Consider the following 27123-nt stretch of genomic DNA (forward strand, 5'->3'; position numbering starts at 1 on the left):
GTCTGATTTATGTAGAGCTCACAGATTGGTTCCATCAGGTGTGACATTTACATAGCCCAGGGAAGGCTGGCCACCCTACCCTAATCTTATTATGTAACTGAACTTTCCCCTTGGCCAGGGCCATCTTGTCTGCTCCTTACTGTACATGTGGCTGGCAGAGAAGGGAAGGTGGAGCCGCTATTTTGAACATGATTGGCACAACTGCCAGCATCTATATCTGCAGCTTGATTTTACAGGCTGCTCTTTGTTAGAAAGGAACATGATTTGGGGCTACTTTTCATTAAAAGGAAAACTGTACCGAAGACTTCCATACCCTCACTATCTGTGTAAGTAATTTCTTCTTCATTCCTGTACCAATATGAGATAGTCTGAGTTTGTGGGTAAGGGAATAATTGCCATACTTCTTCTTTTACCTTAAGAAACTGGTCCTCTGTGCAACTTCATTTTGCATGTAGATGTAATTTGTTTGTCTGCAAGGGAATGTACATATTTTAAACTCACTGGCTCATAACGAATGCTTCTGGAGCACTAGGGAGTTAGGGGAAGTGGCAGGTTAGGCATAGAGAAGTATGTGCAGGTTTCAGCAAAGAGCAAGAAGAAATGTGCAAGCCTTTAGGGCCATAGTCAAGGAAAGAAGATGCATCAAGAAGTTAAAATAAGTTGCAATTTCAATCACCTAAGGCAATGAAGATAAGGACTGAGAAGAAGCTACTGGGTTAATCATACAGTGGTTTGCTTGGAAATAAATATTTCACTGGAGTGATGGAAGTAGAGAAATAACTGCCCTAAGTTAATGAGTGAAAAGAAGAAGGTGAGAAAGTGGATATGATATGTACAGAGTTAACCTCCCAAAATTTTAGCTGTGAAGGGGAGGCGATGGAGGATTTCTGGAAGAGTAGAGAAGGTTCTGGAAGTTTCCCAAAATCTTGATATTCCCATCTATACAGATAGAATATTAAAAACACATTCTCCATAGTTTTATTATGGTCACTGAGTGAGATCATCTCTTTATTTATTCCATTTCATCATATAACATAGTAAAAACTTGAGTGTTAAGTATTACTATTTTTAATTTTTGACAATTTGGGATGAAAAGCACTATTTCATTACTTTTAAAATTTTTGTTTCTTTGATTACCGGTTTGTTATTAGTTTATCAGATCCATGGATTTCTTCTGTGAATTAAGAGTCTATCTCATTTGCCTATTTTTTTCTGAGTTTTATTTTGCTTATTATTTTCAGAAGGTTTTTTTATTAAAAACATTTTGTTTATATATTCTTCTGCCTGTGTCTTTTCACACTGCACATGGAAGGACACTATTTTTCACATGCTTTTACTTTTTCTTCTAACTTCACCACCTCCTGCGCTTTCTTAAAATGGAATTTTAATTACGAATGATAATTATTTTTACATTAGGCCTTTAAGTACTTAGAAATAATTTCTTAGCAACTATTTTAGGTTTTATAATCCTATTATCCCCCCATATGTTTATATTCTACAAGTAATATAAATTTTATTAGTCAGCTCTGTGCCCTGTTGGCCCTTTTATTCTAAAGGTGAATTTAAGTTCTTTGCACCATGACATTTTCTTTTTTTTAAAAAAAGTCTTTGATAATCTCATCTTTGGCAAATTGTTGTATGAATTTCTAGAACTCCTATTAGATGAATGTTGGAATTTTTAGATTTATCTTCCAAGTTTCATTATTTTTCTTCTAATATCTTTTGTTTCCTTCACACAAGTTTCCACCTTATAAATCACATTCTCACTACGTATATTATTTATAGCACTCATCTACTCTTTATTATTTTGTTTCTATAACAATATTTTAAAACTCCAAGAACTGTTGTTGAGAGGCTTCTATTTTACTATTAACCACTTTATTTTCATTTATTTTTCTTTTCCTCCTCTTCATCTTCACCTCTTGCTTCTGCTCTTCCTCATCATCCTCTTCCCCCACTTCTTTTTTTTAAACAAATTACATCTCAATTCTTGATGAGGAGTGAGGACTGTTTATGTGGAGGTTTCCCTTTTTCCACTTTATTAATTTTGCTTTCTTAGAGTTTGTTTGCGTGTGATATCTCTTCTTAGGCTGTGATTCTTGTTTGTCTGTAAATATTTGTGGATAGTCGAAGTAGAATATATTACTAGCTCAAGTCTATTTTCTCATTTTTCAGGGAATCCCTGGAAAGAAATGAAGCTTCACACTCAGAATATCACATTTAGTGATTTCAGGAGACCAGCAGAATAGGAATTAAGCTGGAACTCCTATACAGTTTATTTTCTAGGTTTGGGACCTCTGCGTACCTCCTGTGGCTTTATGGTACCTGGTATTGTTTCCCCAGACCATGAGTCTCCAGTGTTGGAGTGCCCACTTCAGAAGTCTGTGTGTTTTGCTTCATCCTGAGGTAAACACTGCTTAGTATGTGCATCCTGGTGGTGGTTGTGATGGTGGGGACTAGCTCAGCCATTCTCCCTGTGTGGCTACTGACAGGTAAAAGGAAATCAGTGTAAGTAACTAGATTGGGGAGTTAATGATGATATCCACTTGGACATACTGTGTGGAGCCTGTTGGGAATCCAGGTGACAAATCCAGCCAGAATATAAAAATACAGATGTATAGCTCTAGCAAGACACACACACACACACACAAACAGAGAGAGAGAGAGAGAGAGAGAGAGAGAGAGAGAGAGTGTAGAGATGTACTGGAAGTCATCAGCATGAAGGATATGTATGATATCCCGTAGAGAAAAAATTCCAAACAAAAAAGAAAACACTAAAATGAACAGAAAGTAAGGAAATGCATCCTTTTGGAAAATGAAGAAATCAGAAAAATGTGGTAAGCAATGTGGAATTAGAGAAAGAATTAAAAAATTTAAGAGAGCTAGAGAAACTAGAGAAGACATAAGTGCTCACAATGACAACTCTATGTGGATGACATCTTACCCTTTAAAATATTAGGTAAACACCACATACATAAAATATAGTAATATTTAACTTTTCTCTTCAAAAATCTTAACATTCTTCCTTTCCTGTTTTTGTTGTTCTTAAAAGATTTGTTTCTCCTACATTTTGACATAAATTTAATACTTCATGTCTAAATAAGGGGTCCCATAGAAAGTAGAAACCTGTGCATAAAAATTGTCACTGAAGTGTGCTTTCATCACAGTACAGAAGATTCTAAATATTGTAAATGTTTAGTAGATACTATATATATGTAGTATATATACACTATATATAGTATTGTATATATATAGTATAGTGTATATATAGTGTATATATATGTGTGTATATGTATATACACATACACACACACACACACACATATATATATAGACACAAAGGCATCAGAGACTTAGAGTAAAAACCTGATGCAGAAAAATGAGTGGAAGATAGAGATAGTCATGAAAAGGCAAGAAGAAATGTTAAAGTCAGAGAGAATAAGAGAGAAAGGGGAAGGAAGGTGAAATCAAGGTGAGTATTGAAGATGATACAAATGTGGAGATCAAAACAAAACAAAAAAAACCTGATCTGTGGGCTGAAAAGCCTCATAGATGAAATAAACAATTTAAGATTTTTTTCTTAAAAGTTAGATATATTCATTTTTTCTGAGTTATGAAACATTTGATTTTCTGTGAAAGACGGTTCTCTCACTCTCTGTTTTTCTGGCTCACAGTTTCTTTCTGAACCTAAAATTCCATCACAATTTTAAAAGCAAAACAAAAACTGTTCAATAATATTATTTTTCTTTTGTTTATTTGTGAGGATTGCTTAGTCACCTAATTCAATCATACGCAAACTTAACTATAATGTTGGCAGATTAATTTCAAAATCCAGCTGAAAGGCAGAAATTTTTGTGATACAGTCAGCAACACTTCTTTCTCCTGCACTATTTCACTGACATCGCAGTGCATTGACCAAGCCACCTTGATGGCAGTCTATTTTTAGGGTCCTCTCCTTACACAGCCAGACCCTAAGCCATGGCTCACCATCAGCGAAACAGACTGGGTGATTCAGGCTCCACTCTTTCCTCCTTCTAGGTCAGTCCCTTCCCAGGGGTTTAGTATGAGCTACAGAGAAATTCCCACCAAGAACAAAACTAATTCTCACTAAAACTTTACGTCGTAAAAGGTTAAGATATTAACTCTTCCAGGAGGTGGTTCAAAGGCCGAAGACATAAATAAGTTGAATTCACATTTATGAAAGGCACTCAGGGATATTTTGTTTATGAGACCTTGCACTATGATCCTTTAACTCAGCTGATAATAACAGCTTCTTATAGGCAAACAAAAGGCTTATCCTTTTAGAAACATCATAATACCAAAAGCCTTGATTTTTTAGTGGGGAGCAGTGGTCAAGTTTTCCTGCCTCCAAAAGGAATAGAACTTGGTCCTGAAATGTAGCACTCAGCCCCATTAAAATGCCTTCTAGGAAAAATCCGACTTGCCTCCTCTCATCTTGCTGAATTTATCTTCTCTCTACTCATCTGCATTATCAATTCAGCTGGATTTCCATCACCTTTGATATATCTTTTTTTTTTTTTTTTTTTTTTTTGAGACGGAGTCTCGCTCTGTTGTCCAAGCTGGAGTGCAGTGGCGGGATCTCGGCTCACTGCAAGCTCCGCCTCCCAGGTTCAGGCCATTCTCCTGCCTCAGTTTCCTGAGTAGCTGGAACTACAGGCACCCACCACCACACCTGGCTAATGTTTTGTATTTTTAGTAGAGACGGGGTTTCACCATGTTAGCCTGGATGGTCTCGATCTTCTGACCTCGTGATCTGCCCGCCTCAGCCTCCCAAAGTGCTGGGATTACAAGCATAAGCCATCGCGCCCGGCCCTTTTATATATCTTAATGTCTGGGACCCTCTACTCTAGCCCGTGGTTTATGGTTTGTTTTCCCCTGGTTTTTGTTCTCAGATGCAATTATACTAGATACCTCTTCAGAGGACTTGTCCCCCTGAATGGTATTTATGTCTCTAAACCAAATGCAACTCCTGAAATGCCAACATTTCCAATCACCCAGTTTTCTACCAAAATAGTTTTTCTACCTGCCTACTTGGTAACCACCTGAATATCTGCCCAACACATTTGCCTGTATTTGCTGTCTCCACCTTGCCTTGTTCTATTGTTTCTTGAGCCCAATTCTGCCAGGCATTGTTCCCAACACCACACTAAAAGCAGCTTTCTTCAACTTCACCAACTACTACACTTTTCTGAAGCCAATGGCCAATTTTCAAGGCTCAACTCACTTGTCCTAAACCACATGTGTCACAGCTGGTAACTCCTTCCTTCCTGAAACACTTTCTTCTGTAGCTTCCACTTCCTCACTATTCTCCTTCTGCCTCAATTGGTGACACTTCTCATTCTGCTTCACAGGCTCCTCATACCTGTGCCTCTAAGCGTTAAACATCCCCAGGCCTCCTCTCTTCTTTAAACATTCCCTCTGCTATGATGCTTTCACTCAGTCTCATGTTTATAAATTCTATTTACATACCACCAACTCCCAAATCTACGTCCACAGCCTAGAACGCTCCCTGAACTCGTGTCTCCAACTGCCTGCGTGCCCTCTCCACATATGTCCTAAATAGCTGTCTCTAAATTAACATGCCCAAAATTAAGCAGCTTACTCCGACTCCCACCAAAATCTCCTTTAGCGATTTTACACTTCAGTAAGTGGACACTCCAAAGTCACTCTAAATCAGCACCTTAGGAACTGGGCTAGCTGCTGTATCTTCAGAACAGCTCTGGCTTTTTGCCAGCCCATTTTGCTACAGCATGCCTCCCAGTAGTGTAATTTTCTTCAACGATATGTTGATAAGAAAAAATACATATAGTCTCTGCAAGGCTGTGGCCGGAATCGGTGGGTTCTTGGTCTCACTGACTTCAACAATGAAGCCGCGGATCCTCGTGGTGAATGTTACAGTTCTTAAAGATGGTGTGTCCAGAGTTTGTTCCTTCTGATGTTTGGACGTGTTCCGAGTTTCTTCCTTCTGATGGGTTCGTGGTCTTGCTGGCTTCAGGAGTGAAGGTGCAGACCTTCACAGTGAGTGTTACAGCTCTTAAAGCGTCATGTCTGGAGTTGTTCATTCTTCCCATCCAGAGTTGTTCATTCCTCCCAGTGGGTTTGTGGTCTCGCTGGCTTCAGAAGTGAAGCTGCAGACCTTTGAAGTGAGTGTAGCAGCTCATAAAGGCAGTGTGGACCCAGAGAGTGAGCAACAGCAAGATTTATTGCGAAGAGCAAAAGAACAAACCTCCCACGTTATGGAAAAGGACCCCAGTGGGTTGCCACTGCTGGCTCGGGCAGCCTGCTTTTATTCCCTTATCTGGCCCCACCCACATCCTGCTGATTGGTCCATTTTACAGAGAGCTGATTGGTCTGTTTTACGGAGAGCTGATTGGTCCATTTTGACAGGGTGCTGATTGGTGCGTTTACAATCCCTGAGCTAGACACAAAAGTTCTCCAAGTCCCCACTAGATTAGCTAGACAGAGAGCACTGATAGGTGCATTTACAAACCTTCAGCTAGACTCAGGGTGCTGACTGGTGTGTTTACAAACCTTGAGCTAGACACAGAGTGCTGATTGGTGTATTTACAATCCCTTAGTTAGACATACAGGTTCTCCAAGTCCCCACTAGACTTAGGAGCCCAGCTGGCTTCACCTAGTGGATCCCGCATGGGAGCTGCAAGTGGAGCTGCCCGCCAGTCTGGCGCCGTGCGCCCGCACTCCTCAGCCCTTGGGCAGTCAATGGGATTGGGTTCTGGGGAGCAGGGGGTGACACTCATCAGGGAGGCTCCAGCTGCATGCTGGAGCCCACAGCAGGGTGGAGGCTCGGGCATGGTGGGCTGCAGGTCCCAAGCCCTGCCCTGCGGGGAGGCAGCTGAGGCCTGGCGAGAATTTGAGCACAGCGTCTGTGGGCCGGCACTGCTGGGGGACCCGGTGCACCCTCCACAGCTGCTGGCCCGGGTGCTAAGCCCCTCACTGCCCGGGGTGGCAGCGCTGGCCAGCTGCTCTGAGTGCTGGGCCTCAGAGCCCATGCCCACCAGGAACTCACGCTGGCCCGCGAGCACCATGTGCAGCCCCAGTTCCTGCCCACACCTCTCCCTCCACACCTCCCCGCAAGCAGAGGGAGCTGGCTCCGGCCTCGGCCAGCCCACAGATGGGCTCCCACAGTGCAGTGGTGGAGTGAAGGGCTCCTCGAGCATGGCCAAAGTGGGCACCGAGGCCGAGGAGGCACCGAGAGTGAGCGAGGGCTGCCAGCACGCTGTCATCTCTCAATGCCACTGTCTGAGTGGCAATTGCGTGTTCTCTTCATGTCTGTGTGGGTTTTCTCTGGGTATTCCAGTTTCCTCCCCTACATCCCAAAGCTGTGCACATGAGGTGAACTGCCATGTCTATATGGTTCCTATATGAGTGAGTGTGGGTGTGTGTCATAGATAAGAGATAGCAGAAGAATTGAGAGATGAGTCAGCCCAAGGCAAAGAATGTCTCTTTTTATGAAAATTGGGAGATGTAAAACTGAAACCTAACAGAAAACACTTTCCAAATCACATAAAACATCACTTATCAATTGAGCTAAAAGAACTGCAGCTATAATCAATTATGGATACCACAGGACAGTGGACAGAAATGATATTGAAAAGAAAGACAAAGAAAAAATTGGGACACTTTTTACTCTATAGTCTGTATTTGACTATAAACATCTAATATAACATTTGTGGCAGCAAAAGGATAGGGTTGTACAAGGTACCCTTACTGATGTAGGGCACTGATGAGGTTGAAGGTGAGATGGCCCTGACTGTGGGGTACCCAATTGCATATGTGTGTAAGGGGTCCCAAAACAGGAGGCATGAGAAAGGTGACAAAATTGATTTAGGATTAGACCTAAAAATTTAAAAATATGTGCTAGGCTTTGTTTTTTTTTAGCCCTTAGTAACAACAGAGAGCATGTCTGAGGGATCTCCACTTTTACTGCTGAGCTAGGAACGAGCCTAAAAAGTACAGTAAAGCTTCACTTAAGGTCACCCATAGGTTCTTGGACATTGAGACTACACCAAATGACATATAATGAAAACAACTTGGCTGAGTGTGGTGGCTCATGCCTATAATTCCAACCCTTTGGGAAGTCAAGGTGGGTGGATTACTTGAGGTCAGGAGTTCGAGACCAGCCTGGCCAACATGGCAAAACTCCATCTCTACTGAAAATACAAAAATTAACCAGGCGTGGTGGCATGTACCTGTAGTTCATAGCTACTTGGGAGGCTGAGGCAGAAGAGGTGGAGGTTGCAGTGAGCCGAGATCACACCACTGCGCTTCAGCCTGGGTGACAGGGTCAGACTCTGTCTCAAATAATAAATAAATAACTAAAATAAATAAATAATAATAAAAACATCTTTATTGTACAATAATTGATAGAAACAAGAGTTAATTTCCTATGGCATATTTCTGGTCACAAGAATATTACCAAACTTCTAAAAAAAGACCAAAACCTTTCTATTATTAAACATTGAAATAAATGCAAGTTATATATACATTTAAGATGAATAAAAACAAGTAAGATAATAATTTATCCGCTTATTCCCACTCAGGATTGCAGATGGCTGTGAACTGTCTCAGCAGTTCAGGGTGCAGGGTGGACGCCAGTCCTGGAATCTAAAAGTTTCCCAATATTTTTCTTTGTCTCTCTCTTTAATATTATTTTTGTCCACTGGCTTATAGCATCCATAAGTGACTATATGCAGTTCTTTTACCTCGCAGAGACATAAATCGATAAGTGATGTTATCTGTGCATGGAAAGTGTTTTCTGGCTGGGTTTAGTTTTAGGTCTTCCGCTTTTCATAGAAAGAGACATTCTTCGCCATGCATTGTCTCATCTCTAATTTTATCTGCCATCTATTAAAAAAAGTAACTGGGCTGGTGCGGTGGCTCACGCCTATAATCCCAGCACTTTGGGAGGCTGAGGCGGTCGGATCACGAGGTCAGGAGATCAAGACCATCCCGGCCAACACAGTGAAACCATGTCTCTACTAAAAATACAAAACAAAAAAAAAAATTAGCTGGGCTTAGTGGCGTCCCAGCTACTCGGGAGGCTGAGGCAGGAGAATGGCGTGAACCCGGGAGGTGGAGCTTGCAGTGAGATCGCGCCACTCCACTCCAGCCTGGGTGACAGAGTGAGACTCCGTCTCTAAAAAAATAAATAAATAAATACAAATAAATAAATAAAATAAAAAGATAACTGATGAACCCAGAAAAACAAGTTTCGGTCAACTGTCAGATAAAAAGGGATTGTATTATGCTTTTTGTTTGGAGAAGACAGAATATTTAATGTTCTATTTCATCACTGCAGGAGAAAAATAATCTTGCCAGGGCTCTGTGAGAGGGGAAAATTCTGATACGCATTTGCCTCTTTTGAGTTATCAAAGTTACTGCTAAGTGCCACAAAGTCTGAGTCTCACCCTCCTAAAGAGACAAAAGTGGCATTCAGTGGTACACATGCATTTCTGGAATTGCCATAGGTGTCATAACTATTACCCTTCACACGAAAGCAGCATAGACGGAAGAAGATACCTGTAGGCTTACCAGGGGAGGTTGCTGCTGGAGAGTTGGGAGAGGGGCTTCCCAGGGGTCATCTAAGCCCTTTCCCTGTCTTCAAGAATAACTTCACATAAACTGTCCCCTGCAGATGGGAACATTCTCTCTATTTTAATGTTTCCAAACAACAGATAGGTTCACTTTTTTGCAGGACTGTAAGGAGGGGTTCATTCATGATTTTTCTTTATTGCTGAGAGACAAAAAACCTAGATACCTAGATACATATATCTTACCCATAAGATACTATAAGATCTTCGTGAACAGAAATGACTTATCCCCATAAAAGCTAAGTCTATTCTGTCCCTATTCAATAGCCAATATTAAAGATGATAATCAAATCTATACTACTTACAGCTAAAATTACAAATAGGTAAATCTAAACGTGTCATTGTAGTAGAGCCGCCTCTCCAATACCATGAACTTTATTTGGCTTAGTTGGGTATAGAAAATAGAAATATACAGTGGCAATGCAGATATATATGGCTCTTTCCTGATGGTGTTTTGAGGACAGTACTATTTGTCCCTGAGATCTTTCTTCTGCCTGGCTGATCTGGTAGCCTGTATATTAATTTCAACTTATTTATTGTTTAAAAAAAAAAAAAAAAAAGAGGTGAAGCTAGGGCCCATCTGAAACAATGTTATTAAAAATGTGTGAACAAGGACTTCAGCCCATTTGTTGTATTCATAAAGGGTGGCTTCACAACCTCCACCCCCTTTACAAAATTTAGTTCACAGAGTTTTGACAGTCATGCAGTCTTTTTCTGAAGTATTTCCAAAAGTGAGACAAGAAAAAAACTCATATTGAAACAATATTTGTGTGTTTTCGATAGCAGCTAATTACCTCTATGCTGGTTTGAGTTATCACCAGGCTATTTCAGGAGGATCCAGTGCAAATCAGCAGCTGGTGAGGCATCTCCTCAAAGTTCTTTGGCTTCTAGCTCCTCAGTGTCCATTAGCTTACTGTTTCACTAAAAGGGGGATGGAGGGCATCTGGTACAAACTTTTACTGGATGACTGCTCAGGAGAAGAACTACTCGGGCCATACCTTCAAAAGCTTGCTAATAAAATGAAGTTACTGGAAGTTAATTAATTTTCCTTTTACAGGACAGAGAATGGAGCCTGACACATAATAGATGTTTAATACATTTTCACTGATAAACTGAATAAATGAATTTATGATTATTCAGGAATTGGTGCTTTTTTATGCTTAAATGTTATTCCCCCCCGCTCCCCCCAACCTCCCGCCCAGTGTTCTGGTGATTAACTGTTTTGGTTGCTGTGTGCAAAGGGCCTAACAGTGGAAAAGAGAGACAGACCCTCTGATGGCATGCTATTTGAGGAATACAATTAATTCTAAGGAGTTCTACTCTGCAAAGTTCAAGTTCACTGCTTTTGCAGAATTTGGATGTGGGGAAATATGAAATGATTTTGACAACCGATCTGATTCTTCTAAGAGTTTAGTTTCACAACAGCTCTTGATAGTTTAAAAGAGGAAAGCATGGGGTATAGTAATTTAGCCATGGCTAAGACGTGACTAAGACACCTACATTTTCTTCATTGGAAAGAAAGATCTGTCAGTGTTAACTAGTTGACTCCTTTCCTCTCTGCTTCTCTTAGTGTGGACCTCTGTGCTTGTTTCCTGACGAAAACAAGACTGCCCACAGAGTACTCTCCTCAACCCTGTTAGTCACAGCCTCCCTACCTCCCCAGCCCCATTGCCTAGCACTCTTTCTTCTCTGTCATACCAGCAGCTCTGATCTCCTGGGCTCTCCAGACCCAAGTCCTTCTTCTCATCTCACCACTAGCATCACTTCTTTTTCTGCTCCTTGGATAAACTCAGATCTGTCATTATAGGCTGTAGTGAATTCCTATCATTTTACCTTGCTTTGGCATATTTTGAATATAAGCTAGATTTTCTCATCCCAGAAGCAGGGGCTGTCACTCTTGACACAATTCCCAGTTCTTGACCTCCTTCCAATTCCTCACTGTGATAAATCCAGATATCTGCCTTATATAATCACCTCCTGGTGACTACTTCTCTCTAGGACACAACCTACTTGACTCGCACCACTGACCCCCACACCTTGCATAGACTGAGCAGATATATAACGATGGCCACCTCTCCATCTGATTCTAGACTGATTCTAGTTCCTAGAATCTCAGCATGATTCTAAGGAACTCATTCCAGCTTGCTCTAAACCCACCAATCTTGACTCCTTATAAGAAACATGTTTGGGTATCACCCTGGAGGCCAATAAAAGCTTCAGCCCACAGGTCTCTTGTTTTCTCTCTTGCTCCCCACCCACTAGCTGAGCGTGCTTGTCTGTGGTTCCCCACTTCCCATTAACCCTGTGAAGTGTGCTGTCCTCTTCCCTCTGAGGTCTGTAGGTAATAAACCACCTCTGTTATTTTATGTGTTTTGTTCACTTGCTTTCTCTGTCTCACCTGACTGATATACCTGAATATAGCTTCTTTGCTCATCAGGGCTCTCCCAGAGGGTGACTATTTTGCTTGGAGTCAATTGGACACAGGTAAGACAACAGCCACAATGGTGTCTAGCAGGATATTCCTGTGAGTGGGACACTTGGTCACAGGTCAAATGCTTAGGCATTAGGCTATCCACCAGGATTAAAAAAAATGTATTTTGTGAAAAGCATATTGTAAAAATCCACAATCAAATCCCTGGAGCCCCATAAGAGCAGAGCTAGAGTTCATAGCCACCTTCGTGAAGAAACTCTCACTACTAAATTAGAATATATATATATATATATATATACACACACACACATACGTATAAAATACCTTCTCACAAAGCTGTTTCTTTGCTTTTATAAGATTTATCCCCCAGTACAAAATAGGCTTTCCACAATTCTCTCATGTCCTTCTACATATGTTTATGTAATTGTTGGGTTCTTCCTTTTTCTCAGTGGGTTGTAATCTTTATGAGGGATGGAATCCATTTCACTTTTCTCATTTTTACGTCCTTGTTGCTCTAGCATTAAGTCTGGCACATAGTAGGCGCTTAATAAATACTTACTGAATGAATAACATTTAAAAGAGATATATGATCTCCGTCATAGCAGGTCTGAAAAAGGAATGTGACAGCTGCAATAATAACTCATGTGAACAACAAGGTTAGCTGGTAAAATGTGTGGGTTTCCAGAAATCACTTTCCCCTCAAACGCATTTATAAGAATGTTATTGTTAGAAATTATTTCAGCTTCATGTTCATAAAGTCCTTGTCTGAAATCAAAAGTCATCTGGAAAGATTGGCTGGCTACAAGCCATGATCACTTAGATATGAATAAGTTGAGTTATTTAATACCAGGAGTTACTACGCTGGTGGCGTTACTCAACCTCCTGAGTGAGAAAGAACAAGACAGGGAAGCAGGTTTGCTGTGCGCTGGTGACCAAACTGAGTTAGGAAAGACAGAACACACACATACGCAACACGTCATAGAAAGCAGGTTTATTACTCACAGACAGGCAATGAGGGACAACAGAAGCCTAGGATTTATCACCAGCCAGTCCTCCTCAAGGTTCAGGAAAGCTGCCTGGAGCAGAAGGAGTCTCAAAATTCACGGGCACCACTTGCACTGCAGCTGAGGATCCCCAGACAGCAGCATCCCCACCCCCAGGTGGTATGCTCTGCGGCAATAGGAATGTCTGGGCTACAGCATTAAAGCACATTCTGTTTCTAGGGGAGCATGGCAACAGAGCCCCAGCTGTCAGGCCATTCTCCCTATCTCAGCATGTTCTAGTGATCCCAGCTGTTCTAGTGATTATTGAGAACTACAAACAAGAAGGGCGCTGGGGGAAGGTCAGTTCGATGCTTTCTGGAGAACTATCCTTCCAAGGTGGAGGTGAGTTTGGAAATTTAAAATACTTTCTGTTACAGAAAAGATACAAAATGACAGTGAAGCTTCTGCTAGCTCTGATGTGTGAGGGTTTTAGTGATTCAGACACCTGGGCTTCATGAGCCACTTAGGGAAGAGGAGACAGGACCTTGGGCCAGAGAAAAATGGGGATTTACAAAAAGATCCAAACACATTGACAGGCTATATCTTGCATGAAAACAAGGGCTAGATTAAAAAAAAAAATCTTCCAGCCTGTGTGGGGAGATTTCAATGGCAATAATCCATTGGAATTTGTCTCTGGAGAGAAAAATATACCTGATAATTTATTTGTAATTATAAGCTTCTCATACATGGTTTTAGATTTCAAATTTACATGCCCTCTGATTAGGGCACATACCTCGATTGAAGAGATACAACACCCCAGAAGAGATATGCACTATCAACTTGAAATGAGACTCTACACATACAGCCCAGAATAAATGATGACCTTTTATTCCAGTATCTCTCTCTCACACACACATACACCAAAAACCACTATAAGAAAAAAAACAAAACAAACAAACAAAAAAACAGCAGCAGAGTTGGTTCTTCACTTTGCCTAATCAAGAAATTCAGCCATTGGGATTATAAAATACTAAGTAGAAGTACAATTTGAATCTTTGAAGTTGTAAAAGAGGCAATAGGATACATAAGCAAGGCACTGTTTATTATTAGAAACCTTTAGGCAGACTAAGCCAGGCACCCTGCCTCATGCATGTAATCCCAGCTACTCGGGAGGTTGAGGCACAAGGATTGCTTGAGTCCAGGAGTTTAAGACCAGCCAGGGGCTCATGCCTGTAATCCCAGCACTTTGGGAGGCCAAGGCAAGCAGATCACTTGAGGTCACGAGTTCAAGACCAGGCTGGCCAACATGATGAAACCCAGTCTCTACTAAAATACCAAAAAAAAAAAAAAAAAAAAAGCAGGGCGTGGTGGCCTGTGCCTGTAGTCGTTCCACTGCACTTCAGCCTGGTTGACAGAGTGGGATTCCAAAAAACAAACAAACAAAAGAAAAAACAATCAGCCAGGGCAATATAGCAAAACATCATCTCTAAAAAAGAAACGAAAAAAATTGGCTTGGCATGTTGGCAGGCACTTGTCGTCCTACATACTTGAGAGGGTGAGAGGGTGAGCTCAGGAGTTTGCTGATACAGTGAAATCTAATCATGCCACTGGCATGCCAACCTGGGTGGCAGAGAGATACTGCCACTAAAAAATTAAAAATGCAGGCAGGCTTGAAAAAAAAGAAACAATACAGCTTGTAGAAGTGCAGCATTTACTTTGGAATGAAAACCTTAATGGATGAGTACACATAAGACTTGGTACAAATGGAAGGAGACGTGGCACACTGAGAGGTGGATGTGAAACTCAGGACAGATGGAAGGAGACTTCGCGCACTGAGAGGCGGATGTGAAACTGAGTAGAGATGGAAAGACACGCGGTGCACTGAGAAGCGGACGTGAAACTGAGGGAAGATGGAAAGAGACTGGCGCACTGAGCGGTGGACGTGAACCTGAGGAGAGATGGAAGGAGACCTGGTGCACTGAGAGGCGGACGTGAAACCGAGTGGAGATGGAAGGAGACGCGGTGCACTGAGAAGCGGATGTGAAACTGAGTGGAGATGGAAGGAGACCTGGTGCACTGAGAGGCGGATGTGAAACTGAGGGGAGATGGAAGGAGACCTGGCGCACTGAGAGGCGGATGTGAAACTCAAGAGAGATAGAAGGAGACGTGGCGCACTGAGAGCCGGATGTGAAACTGAGGGAAGATGGAAGGAGACCTGACGCACTGAGAGCCGGATGTGAAACTGAGGGGAGATGGAAGGAGACGCGGCGCACTGAGAGCCGGATGTGAAACTCAGGGGAGATGGAAGGAGACCTGGTGCACTGAGAGGCGGATGTGAAACTGAGGGGAGATGGAAGGAGACTGGGCACACTGAGAGACGGATGTGAAACTCAGGAGAGATGGAAGGAGACGTGGTGCACTGAGAGCCGGATGTGAAACTGAGGGAAGATGGAAGGGGACCTGGCGCACTGAGAGGCGGATGTGAAACTCAGGAGAGATGGAAGGAGACGTGGCGCACTGAGAGCCGGATGTGAAACTGAGTGGAGATGGAAGGAGACTGGGCACACTGAGAGACGGATGTGAAACTCAGGAGAGATGGAAGGACACATGGCGCACTGAGAGCCGGATGTGAAAGTGAGTGGAGATGGAGGCGGGGCGCACTGAGAGGCGGCTGTGAAACTCAGGAGAGATGGAAGGAGACGTGGCACACTGAGAGCCGGATGTGAAAGTGAGTGGAGATGGAGACGGAGCGCACTGAGAGGTGGATGTGATCCTGAGGAGAGATGGAAGGAGACCTGGTGCACTGAGAGGCAGATGTGAAAATGGAGATGGAGACGCGGTGCACTGAGGAGGAAGTGAAACTGAGTGGAGATGGAAATAAGTAGTATAGTGAAAGACTGATGTGAAATAGCACAAATGGAAGGAGAAGCAGTACATTGAAAGATATGTTTTCATATGGAAAGAAGAACTACCCCATATTGCAGCGCAGAGAGGCAGAAAAATATGAGAGAAACGCACAACAAAATGTGCAGATTTTACATACATCTCATTGTAGTTTCAGAAAAAAAAAAGATTAAGGGAGACAGAAGATGTGAAAAGATAAAAGTGAGAAAAATTCTTAATCCTCAGGTCCAGAAAGTCTAAAGAGTCCAGATATTTTTTAAATGACATCTAGATTTAGTACATGAAAAGAAGAAAAAAAGAAGTGACTGAGACAGACTGATCTTAAAATAGACACAGAACAAAAGACAGATAACCCATAAAGTAAAGGCTCACTGCGCTTCCCATCAGCATTTTGGGAGAGGAACGATGGTGTAATACAATCTTCAATGCACTCAGAGAAAAGAGTGTCAACCTAAAACTCTATTCACAGTAGTCTTTCTTTCAGAATTGTAAAATAAAGACATTTTTGGACAGATAAAAACTGAAAAATCACCGAAAAAAATATTCCCCATGGGAATTTGTAAAGAATGTATTTCAAGAGAAGAGTAAATGAGCCTCTGTGAAAAGTCTGAGTTACCGGAAGTAATGTAGATACCAAAGCCAGTGGTAAATCCCTATTGGGCAATTATTATGCACCAGATAATTTCTGTAAGCATGTTTTAGTTCATTTAATCCTTATTACGATACTATGAGTAAGATCCTATTATTAAACAAGTTTAACTTGTCTTAAGATGACAGAATTTATAAGTGGCAGGAGATTCACAGCCAGGCAACGTGCCTGCAGACACCACTGCTTACTACTCTGTTGTGGTAAATAATAAATATTGACATTATAAAGCAATAATGGCAATGTCTAATCTGTGAGGAAGTAAACAGGTTACCAAGAAAACACTAGGCAATGACAAATAACTTGGGGATGACTAGAATTAAATGTTCTAAACTTAAATTTTTCTTAAGTAGAATGCAAATACTGGACCTAGTAAGCACGATTGTTAAATTTGCTAGAATAATCACTAAAAGAGAAAGTAACAGCTTCTAAGCATATAGGAAAAAAAAGCAATTGAATGAGAAAAAGCAAATAACAAAATATGTCAATTAAAAAGAAACTAAGAAAAAGACATAAATTAGTGAGACAAAAACATAGTAAGATGGGAGAAATAATTCTAAATAGATCAGTAATTGTTATAAATCTAAAGACACCAAACTTTCTATTTGAGAGACCAGGATTAACAGAATGGATTTTATAAATTTATTTTGTTGAAAAGATACATACATATTCAAAGTTAAAACACAGAAAAGGTATAGCTTACAAATATTAACTATAAGTAACTGGAGCAACTATATTAGCATCTAAAGAGACAGATTTAATGTAAATGCATGAATAATGACAGGGAAAGTCAACACATACCATTAAAGTTTCCATTGTTTAAGAAGATACGATAGTTTTAAACCTGTGTGACCAGCTTCAAAACATACAAAGTGAAAACAGATTTAAAGTAAAGATGGAAAAAGTCACAATTATGATTGTGAAAGATTTTTACATGCCTCTCTCAGTAATTGAAGATAAAAAGTAAATCTACTAGAACGTAAAACGATTTTAAGAACAAACCTTGAAGCTCTATTTTCCTGACTTACAGAGTATTGAATACCTCTATCTAGCCATTTATTTCTATCCATATTTGATATGATTAACAAATTCAACTATATTATATACATGATACATAATGTTATTCTCAAGCAAATAAGAAACATATAGAAAAGTTAGTCTTAATAAATTTAAAGTGTTGCTATATCATCCAAACTCCTTCTCAGAATATAATTAAATTAGAAAAATGCTTTTAAAACTAGTAAACCTCTATATGTGTAGAAGTTTAAATAATAAGAGAAACCATAGTAAAATTTAGAAAATTTTATAATTAAACAGTTATAAAATTTATGCACAAATGACTTGGAGAATATGGATAAAATGGAATTCAGAAATATATATTAGAAATATATGTTATTTGAAAAGAAAGCATAAAATTAATGAGATAATGTATTAGAAAAATACTGGGATGAATGCAAAGACAAAGAAAGAAATAAGAATAGAAATTAATGCAATAGAATGCACACTTATACTTCAGAAGATTTCATAATCTAAAGGAATTTTTAAATTAGTAAAACAAGCCTACATTCATAGTACACACTTGAATTGTGACAGAGATGGCATTTCAGATCACTCGGGAAGCAGTGGACTACTCAATAAATAATCAGGGCACTGATTATACATTTAAAAATGAAATTATATTATCTATAAAAGGCTTGGTAGACAATATGTGAGAATATTGTTATGATTTTAGTATAGGGAAGGATTTCTCAAATTTAAAATGATGCAAATCATAAGCAAAAAATTGATAAATTCCAGTTTTATATAATTTAAAACTTGTTTGTTTTATAAAAAAATAGAGTGAGAATATAGTAAGCTAGAAATAGTTCAACTGTCCATCAATAATAGAAAGAATAAGTGAATTAAAGTATATTCATATAACTGAATACTATAGAAAAAGACAAGATACAGCTAAATTCAGCAATGGTAAATATTAAAAATACAAGTGAAAGAAGCTTATCAAAGAGCCTTATATATAACATAATTTCACATAAATGAAGTTTAAACCGTATCGAATATATATATATTCATATTTTTTGCCTGTTGCTTTTGTATTCTATCTCATTTTAAAAACTCAAATAAGATATTATTTCTATTCCTTTATACATACAATGTTATTTCAGATTTATCTTCAATTACTTTGCTTTCTTTTCTTTGGAAAGGAAATTAGTATATGTGAATATGTGTTAATATGTATGAATATATATACATATGACTATATATGGATGAGAAGACATGATAATTTACAAAAATGGCTAAAAATATTTCTAGCTACATGAATAAAGAAAGTCTACATCTCCACCTTTAAATCTGGATGGGGACATGTCTTGCTTTGGCCAGTGGGACAATATCAAGTGTGATGCAGTCAGAGACTTGCAAAGTGCTTGAGAATCAGGGCGTGTTTTCTTGCTAAATTTAGAGCCCTGAAATCATGTTAATGAGGCTGAACTAGGCTGATGGAAGATGAGTGGTCACATGGGGAGAAGACATGTGTCCTAACTGGCAGTCAACCAGCCCTTGGTACTACCTGTGGAATACCAGACATTTAGCTGAGACCATCCTTGTCAGTGTAGCCCCCAGCTAAACTGCATGAGTAATCTCATCAGAGATCAGCTGATAGAATGTAGTGAAAAGAATTGTCCTACATAAATCTGAGCTCAATAACCAGCTCTTGTTGTAAGCAATTAAGTTTTGGGATGGTTTGTTATTTGGCAAAACATTTGGCAACGAGTATGTCTATAAAACTTCTAAAGTACTAGCAGCATTTTATTTCTTCACTCAAATAAAAATTTTATGTATTTATTTTGTTACTATCCTTAAAGTTTCATATATCTACTTTGTACTTTCTAATGTGTGATACATCATAAAACTTTCGAAAAAGAAAAAAATGTTCTTAAATTTTATGTCTACTTTAAGGATCATTACAAAGTAATTAAATAAACATACATTTAGCCAAACAAAAACTGAGTTTACCACAACAGATACTTACTAAACTCTGTACTTCAACAATACGAGTAAAGATCCGAAAAGGAAATTTTCTGATTTTCAGAGAAAGAAAAGCAAAGTAATTGAAGACAAATCTGAAGCATCATTGAATGTACAAAGGAATAGTAATAATATCATTTGAGTTTTAAAGATAAACAAGATAGCACACAAGAGCAACATGCAAAAAAGTTGATTGCATTCTACACGCTAGCAATGGATAATTAAAAATTGAAATAAACGGCTGGGTGCGGTAGCTCATGCCTGTAATCCCAGCACTTTGGGAAGCCAAGGGAGGTGGATTACCTGAGGTCAGGAGTTCAAGACCAGCCTGGCCAACATGGTGAAACCCCATCTCTACTAAAAATACAAAAATTAGCCAGCTGTGGTGGTGTGTGCCTGTAGTCCCAGCTACTTGGGAGGCTGAGGCAGGAGAATTGCTTGAACCCGGGAGGTGGAGGTTGCAGTGAGTCAAGATCACACCACTGCACGCCAGCCTGGGTGGCAGAGCAAGACTCCATCTCAAAAATAAATAAATAAATTGAAATAAAGAATATAATAAAATAATGAAATACTTAGGGATAAATTTAATACATATATGCAAAACTTACACCCTGAAAATTATAAAGCATTGCTGAAAGAAGTGCTTAAAAGACATAAATCAAGAGATACAATATTTTTATATATTGAAAGAAAGTGTTAAAATGTCAGTTCTTCCCAAACTGATTTATAAATTAAACATAGTTCCAATCAAAATTTCAGAAGCTTTTTTAGAAATTATCAAACTACTTCTAAAATTTATGTGAAAAATAAAAATGACCACAAGTAGCAAAAATCATTTTGAACAAAGAAGATGGAGAATTCACACTAGCTGACTTCAAGCCATATGAAGCAGCTATGGTATCGGTGTAAGGATAAATATTAGATTCCTGGAACAGAATAGAGTCCAAAAATGAACCCACATTTTTATGTTCAACTGCGTCTCAGAAAGGGGGCCAAGGTTATTCAAGGAAGAAAGTATTACCTTTTCAACAAAAGATCCTGGGACTACTGTATTTTCATGCTTATAATAAATAAGAAAATATTGACTTCATACCACATACCAAAATTAACTCAAAATGCATTATACACCTAAGCATAATCATTATAATATAATAAATATAGAAGAAAATATGAACAAGTCTTTGCAGCTTTGGGGCATGTAAAAACTTCATAAACAGGACACAAAAATCATGAGTCACAAAAGAAAAATAAAATTATTCTTATCAAAATTAAAACTTTTACTGTTTGAAAAACACTGTATTTTAAAAATGAAAGGCAAGCTACAAACTGAGAGAAAATATCATCTCATAAAGAATTTGTATTGAGGATATATTAACAAACTCTCCCAACTCAATAATAAAAACAGAAATAACTCCCAAAAATGGGCAAAAGATATGAACCTTGAAAGACATATTATAAGTACCAGATAAACTCATAAATATATGTTCAACATCATTAATCATCGGAGAAATACAAATATAAGCCACAATATGATACTTCTATATATTCATTATTATGGCTAAATTTTTTTTAAAAAAACTAAAGATTTCAACTGTTGTCGAAGATGTAAAGAAATTGGAACTCTCATATATCGATGAGGGGAATATAATATGGCACGATCATTTTGGAAACCAATTTGGCAGTTTCCATTAAGTAAATAATAGACTGAAAATATGATCTAGTTGTTCTACTCTTAGGTTTTTACTCAAGAGAAACGGAAACGTGTCTATGCAGAGGCCTTTACATAAATGTTTGTAGAGCTTTATTTGTAATAGCCCCAGACTGAAAATAAAAAACTAAATATGTATCAACGGGTGAATGGATAAGCAAATTGTTGTGTATCCATACTAGAGAGTGGCTGATTTTAATGTATGTGATGTCAATGAGTTTGCAGGGTTCCTAAACATTTGAAAATGGGCTTTCTGTGAGCTGGTATATGCTGACTGTAGCACACCACTGGATATAAATAATGTATATGTGAAAGTCAATTTGTTTGCCTTGTATTTGTATAATGCCTTTTAATTCATAGTATTTTGCACAGATTTTTCTGGAAGACAGGAAATTTTCAAGTATATTTAATACATGAGGAAATTAAAACTCAGAGTTTGGTGACTTACATTATCAGGAAGGATGACTTTGGCAATCAGTAATAGAAAACCCTTACTTAAACTGACTTAAAAACAAGGAACTTAATATTGTCCATAATGGGAAGATCAGGAGAAGGCAACGTCTTAGAATTGATTATGAGGCTCATGATGTGCATAACCACCCTACGTTTTCCTTTTCTCTCCTCTGACATCCTTTGTGTTCATTGGATTTTCAGGCTGGTTCAGGCAGCCCAGCAGGACTTGACAATGTCCAATGCAAAGACAGAGACTATCTACCCCTCGCCCATGACTTAGGGTCAAGGACCTTTTCTTAGAAACTCCTCCTATAGATCTACCTAATTTCCCATTGGCAACAACTGGATAAAATGCCCTTGGCTAGAGCACTCCGGAGTGAAAGGGTGGGATATGTTGGCTGACTTTCACTAAACAGTTTATACCAATAGCGCTGGGATGTGTCATCCTCCTCTGATATCCCTTGGAGAAAGGTGGATATCCAAACTCGTCTGGCATTCTGTTAGGGAGGAGGCGATGGGGAGTGGAGAAGCAACTGATGGTGTCCATTCATTTGCGAAAGTCACGGTCTAATTGGTGGTGACATTGGGAATCTAACTTTATAATCAAGTCCCACCTTCCTAAACATGACATCTAGCTTCTCTGCGAAGATGTAGGCAAAAATTATGATTTTCCTCTTTGAACTCCTGAAACATTTTTGAATGCTATTATCTTTGTTGGTTTATTAGTTCAACAAAGTTGAATGGATTAACTACTTACTACATTTTACATTCTAGCAGGTGTGTGTGTGTGTGTGTATTTCTTGTGTGGGCATATATATAAACTCTCTGTAACTGGGGGAAACACTTTTTTTAACCAATTTACACTCTCACAGTCCGTTACATATAACTAGGGGGAAACTTTTTTAAACCAATTTACACTCTCACAGTACCTTGCACATGTATGTATGTGTGTGGGTGTGTGTGTGTATATATTATATATTATATATTGTTGACCACCAAAGAAAACTAATATTTTCAAGCTTCCCTTTCACCAGTCTTTGAACTATTTTTTTCTCTTACTTTCCAATATTATTCACCACCATTCAACAGAAACAAACTTTAAAAGCAGAGCCCCAAATGAGAATTTTTTTGAAATGATTGCAAGCAATGGAAAATAAACTGTTACAGCCCCAAATACCTTGCAACTGTAACTATAGTGTTCACTGCAGTGATTACTATAATGTGCAGTGTGGCAGAGTTATAGTTACCACAGGAATCATAAATTTGATTGTCTGAGATTTTGTGTGTTCAAAATCTCAACTATAATACTGCCTTCACATATTGTTTTTTCATTCGTTATACATGTACTTGGGTCCAAAGTAGGCAACCCAAACTATAAAATCAAGAATGTTGGTCACTTTCTTCAAAGATTACTAACTCAGCAATGTTAGAGTTAATTCAGAAAGTGCATTTGTAAGAAAAAAATGATCTTACTTCAAGCATAGCAGACTGAATTCTTCCAACTCAGCTTACACCATTCCTTGGAAAATAAATTCCCTCTATGTTTTCAGCTTTTGATCTATTCACTTTAACAATATTTATGTGAATTGGTGCTATTCCATGTGGATGACAGATGATGCAGTTTTATCAACGCTTTGTTGGTTGTCTTTTGTTTTCTAATAATTTATTTATATAGTATTTCCTAGTAGATTATCTCCTGGCTTCAGTCTTTTAATAAAGTTCATCTTATTTTCTGAAATAAAATGCTTTAATTATTACCCATAATATAGTGACCATAATTCTCTCATCGAAGCTGCCTCTTCTACTGTTTCTTCCCCATACAAGAAAATTGCAAAGATAATACCGGCTATGTGCTGCTTGAAACACAAGGAACCCATGACTCTGAATTTAATGGAGAGAGAGTATGAATTCCTGTGGATATAAAGTTTTGTAAGACTCTAGATTTACCCTTTACTCTCTACTACAGGTCTGTCTTGATACTTCAGAAAAAGTTAGCTTTTCCATTAACTTTGGAGACACACAAAATTTCCCACATCTTTTTGCCTACAGTAGACCAGAGGATTGCTTAACATCTGTTTTCCCCTTGAGAGGTCAACAAGAATTTCCCACACCACTGCTTTGGCATGGCTAACAGCGGCAGCTCATCTTATTGAGCCATTTCTTCCACATCTCATGTTATGGATAAGAAATGTTCATAATCATTAACGCCCAAAACTTGCAGACTATGCTGTTTTATTTTGAATGCTTTACATTGTCACAATTTTCCCATTTCTTTAATGTAGGCAGACAAAATCTACATGCTGTCTCTCTCAACAGAGGCCCAAGGTTGTTGATTAAAACTTTGCTTGACAGAAAGCATTTAAAAATGATTGTCGAAGTAAAAATATAGAAAAGAATATGATAGTTGTGATGATGCCAATTTCAGTAAGGGATGCATATGTAGTGTAATTTATTGCATTAACTACAACTAAATCAAAACCTGCGACAAGATGGCATATTTAGCAAACTCAGTCATTTTGTAATGATGAGGTGATGACTCATCACAAACTAGGAAAAGACAAGGGCGACATTCATTGCATCAACATGTTGGCAGGCAGATTTGGCAATGTCACTTGTCTCCAAGTTGCTTATGCGTAATTCACCTGAATAATCTTCAGAAGCCTAAGTACTTATGTCAAGTTCAAATTACTCAATTCACAACAAATGAGTGAGGAAAGAAGACAGAATAAATTAGGCATACACACACACACACACACACAAACACACACATACGAACGTTTACTGTGCTCATTAGAATACCCAGCAAACATTTTTAGATAAGTTTTTAGACAGCTGGGTATCATATCAATAGCAAATATCCCTCATGTTTAATTTGGAATGTGTCTGTCTCTGAAATAATAACTTGTGCAGAAACATGAGGATTGGCTCTGAGAAATTGCCTTAAGTTCATGTTAAATGAGCAGCAAAAGATTTCATGAAATGAAATGAAATCTACATGGTGAACTGAGTTGATGTAGATGGGACTCAGTCCACTAATACACATGGAAATCCTGGATAAAATATAATAACTGCAGCACATAAATCCTGTAATAGGAGGAAAAAATTAACTAAGTGGCAATCACATTCAGCTCTCATTAAATGCCTGTGATGAAAATAACAATGAAATACAATCTTACTCCTATTAGAATGGCTAAAATCCAAAAAACTGACAATACCAATTGCTGGAAATGATATGGAGCAACAGGAACTTACCGTCATTGGTGGTGGGGAAGCAAAATGACAAAGCCACTTTGGAAGACTGGCAGTTTCTTACAAAGCTAAACATACTACTGGCATATGATCCAGCAATTGTGCTCCTAGGTATTTTTCTGACTGGTTTGTAAACTTATGTCCACAGAAACATCTTCATGCAAATATTTTATAATTGTAAAAAACTGGAGGAATCCAAGATGCCCTTCAGTAGATGAATGGACAGAATTCATAAAATGAATATTATTTATCAATAAAAGGAGTGAGCTACCAATCCATATGACAAAATGGAAACATCTTAAACTCACATTGCTAAGTGAAATAAATATATGAAGAGGCTATATAATACATGATTCCAATCGTGTGACATTCTTAAAAAAACAAAAAAATAGGGACTGAAAATAGATGAGTGGTTGCCAAGGGTTTGAGGAAAGGGAAGGGTTAAAAAGATAAAGCACAGTAAGTTTTTCTTTTCTTCATAATTTTATTTATTTGTTTATTTATTTATAACTATCAAAAATGTAAAACAGCTTTGGGTTACAAGAAAGTTGCAAAGATAATACTGAGAATCCCCCAAACCCACTCAAGTCTTCCTATTATTAACATTTCACTCTAGTATGGTATATTTGTCATAATGAATGAGCCAATATCAACACATTATTCTAAGCTAAAGTCTACTCTTTATTCAGATTTTCTTAGTTTTTATCTAATGTTCTTTTTCTGTCCCAGGATCCCATCTTGGATACCACATTACCTTAAACACTGCCTCAGCCAGGTGATCAAGGTCAACGTCTACTGTGATAAGTCATGGTTTTGGTGTGTACCCTTGATGTGATGTGATAAAAATGGCACTTTACCTCTGTGGTCTTCCTCTGAAAAATCCCGTAACAGCAGCCTAATCATGAGAAGCATATCAACAAAACTCAGACTCAGGGACATTCTACAAAATACCAGGCTGTCCCTCCCTGAAATTGTCAAGTTCACCAAAAACAAGGTGAATCTAAGAAACCTGTTACAGCCAAGAGGAGCCTAAGAAGACATGAGGACTAAATATAACATGGAATTCGGGATAGGATTGTGCTACAGAAAATGTATGTGCTAATGTGAGATGTTAACAGTTGGAGAAACTCAGTTTTGGGTATAAGGAATTCTCTGTACTATGTTTATCTAAAAACAATTCCATGGTGAGCAAACTTAAGCATAGAAATGTTAAATAAATTGTCCAAAATAGAGAAGTAAATAGCAGTGCCAGGTTTCAAGCATAAGAATCATCAACTCTGAACTTTAAACACAGCTCTGTATGGTACTTTTGTTTATATCAATGCCTAGATAGATAAATAGGTAGATAGATAATTTCCAAGTGCTAGAAACAAAAAAGGAACTAAAACTGATAAAGAATATAAATGAGGCCAGGCAGGGTGGCTCACACCTGTAATCCCAGCATTTTGGGAGGCCGAGGCAGGCAGATCACTGAAGGTTCGGAGTTCAAGACCAGCCTGGCCAACTGGGGAAACCCTGTCTCTACTAAAAAAAAAAAAAAATAGCCAGGCATGGTGGCATGTGCCTGTGAAGCAAGAGATGTGAGAGGAAAAACAAATTTTTCCTCTTTCTTTTGGTATGGGCAGCTTCCCCCTTGAATCCCTCCTCACTCCTTGTGATTTTACCCTGCTCTGTAAGTTTTATGAGTTTATAGATTCCTGTTTTCTGTAACTAGTGTCTGTAAGTCTCTGTAGCACCGTGGAGGTAATGAGACATGCTTGAGCAAGCTTAGATTGCAGCCATCTGGGCGCCATAGCGAAGGACACGAGATAAGGCTGTGCAGGCATCTTGAGCAAACCTAGATAACAGCCACCTGGCCTGCACAGCAAGAATCATGTGTAAGCTTGAGTTAGGAACCTGTCACAGTTTGATTAACTGCCTTTGTTCTGCTTCTGTAAGCTTGCTTTCCACACCCCACAAGCTTTGCGCCACTGGCAAGCCACCCTCCTTCAGTTGCATGAATAAAAGTCAAGCCCTGTCTTCTTTTGTTGCTCAGCCTCTGGATATTAATCCACTAAGCCAGTGGCAACCTAAATAAAATCCTCCTGTTCCAC

General features: G+C 38.8%; 1 protein-coding gene and 2 long non-coding RNA genes across 3 annotated transcripts in view; 1 reads left to right on the forward strand and 2 right to left on the reverse strand.

The window, feature by feature from the left end:
- LINC01885 (long intergenic non-protein coding RNA 1885) overlaps positions 1–13198 on the reverse strand; it is a 159884-nt gene extending 146686 nt beyond the window's left edge. The window contains exon 1 of the long non-coding RNA NR_183423.1: positions 13066–13198. This is a non-coding gene — a long non-coding RNA (long intergenic non-protein coding RNA 1885). The remainder of the gene's footprint in view (positions 1–13065) is intronic.
- LINC01886 (long intergenic non-protein coding RNA 1886) lies at positions 46–27123 on the forward strand. Its single transcript, NR_146968.1, has 3 exons — positions 46–326; positions 2287–2406; positions 25760–27123. It is a non-coding gene; the product is annotated as a long intergenic non-protein coding RNA 1886 (long non-coding RNA).
- On the reverse strand, positions 4447–10186 carry LOC124905955 (uncharacterized). The gene has a single exon (XM_047446891.1). It carries the CDS (start codon positions 7263–7265, stop codon positions 6600–6602), a length of 666 nt encoding a protein of 221 aa, XP_047302847.1. The 5' UTR covers positions 7266–10186; the 3' UTR covers positions 4447–6599.

This window comes from Homo sapiens, chromosome 2 (assembly GCF_000001405.40).
Source record: "Homo sapiens chromosome 2, GRCh38.p14 Primary Assembly".
NCBI classification, from domain to species: Eukaryota; Metazoa; Chordata; class Mammalia; order Primates; family Hominidae; genus Homo; species Homo sapiens.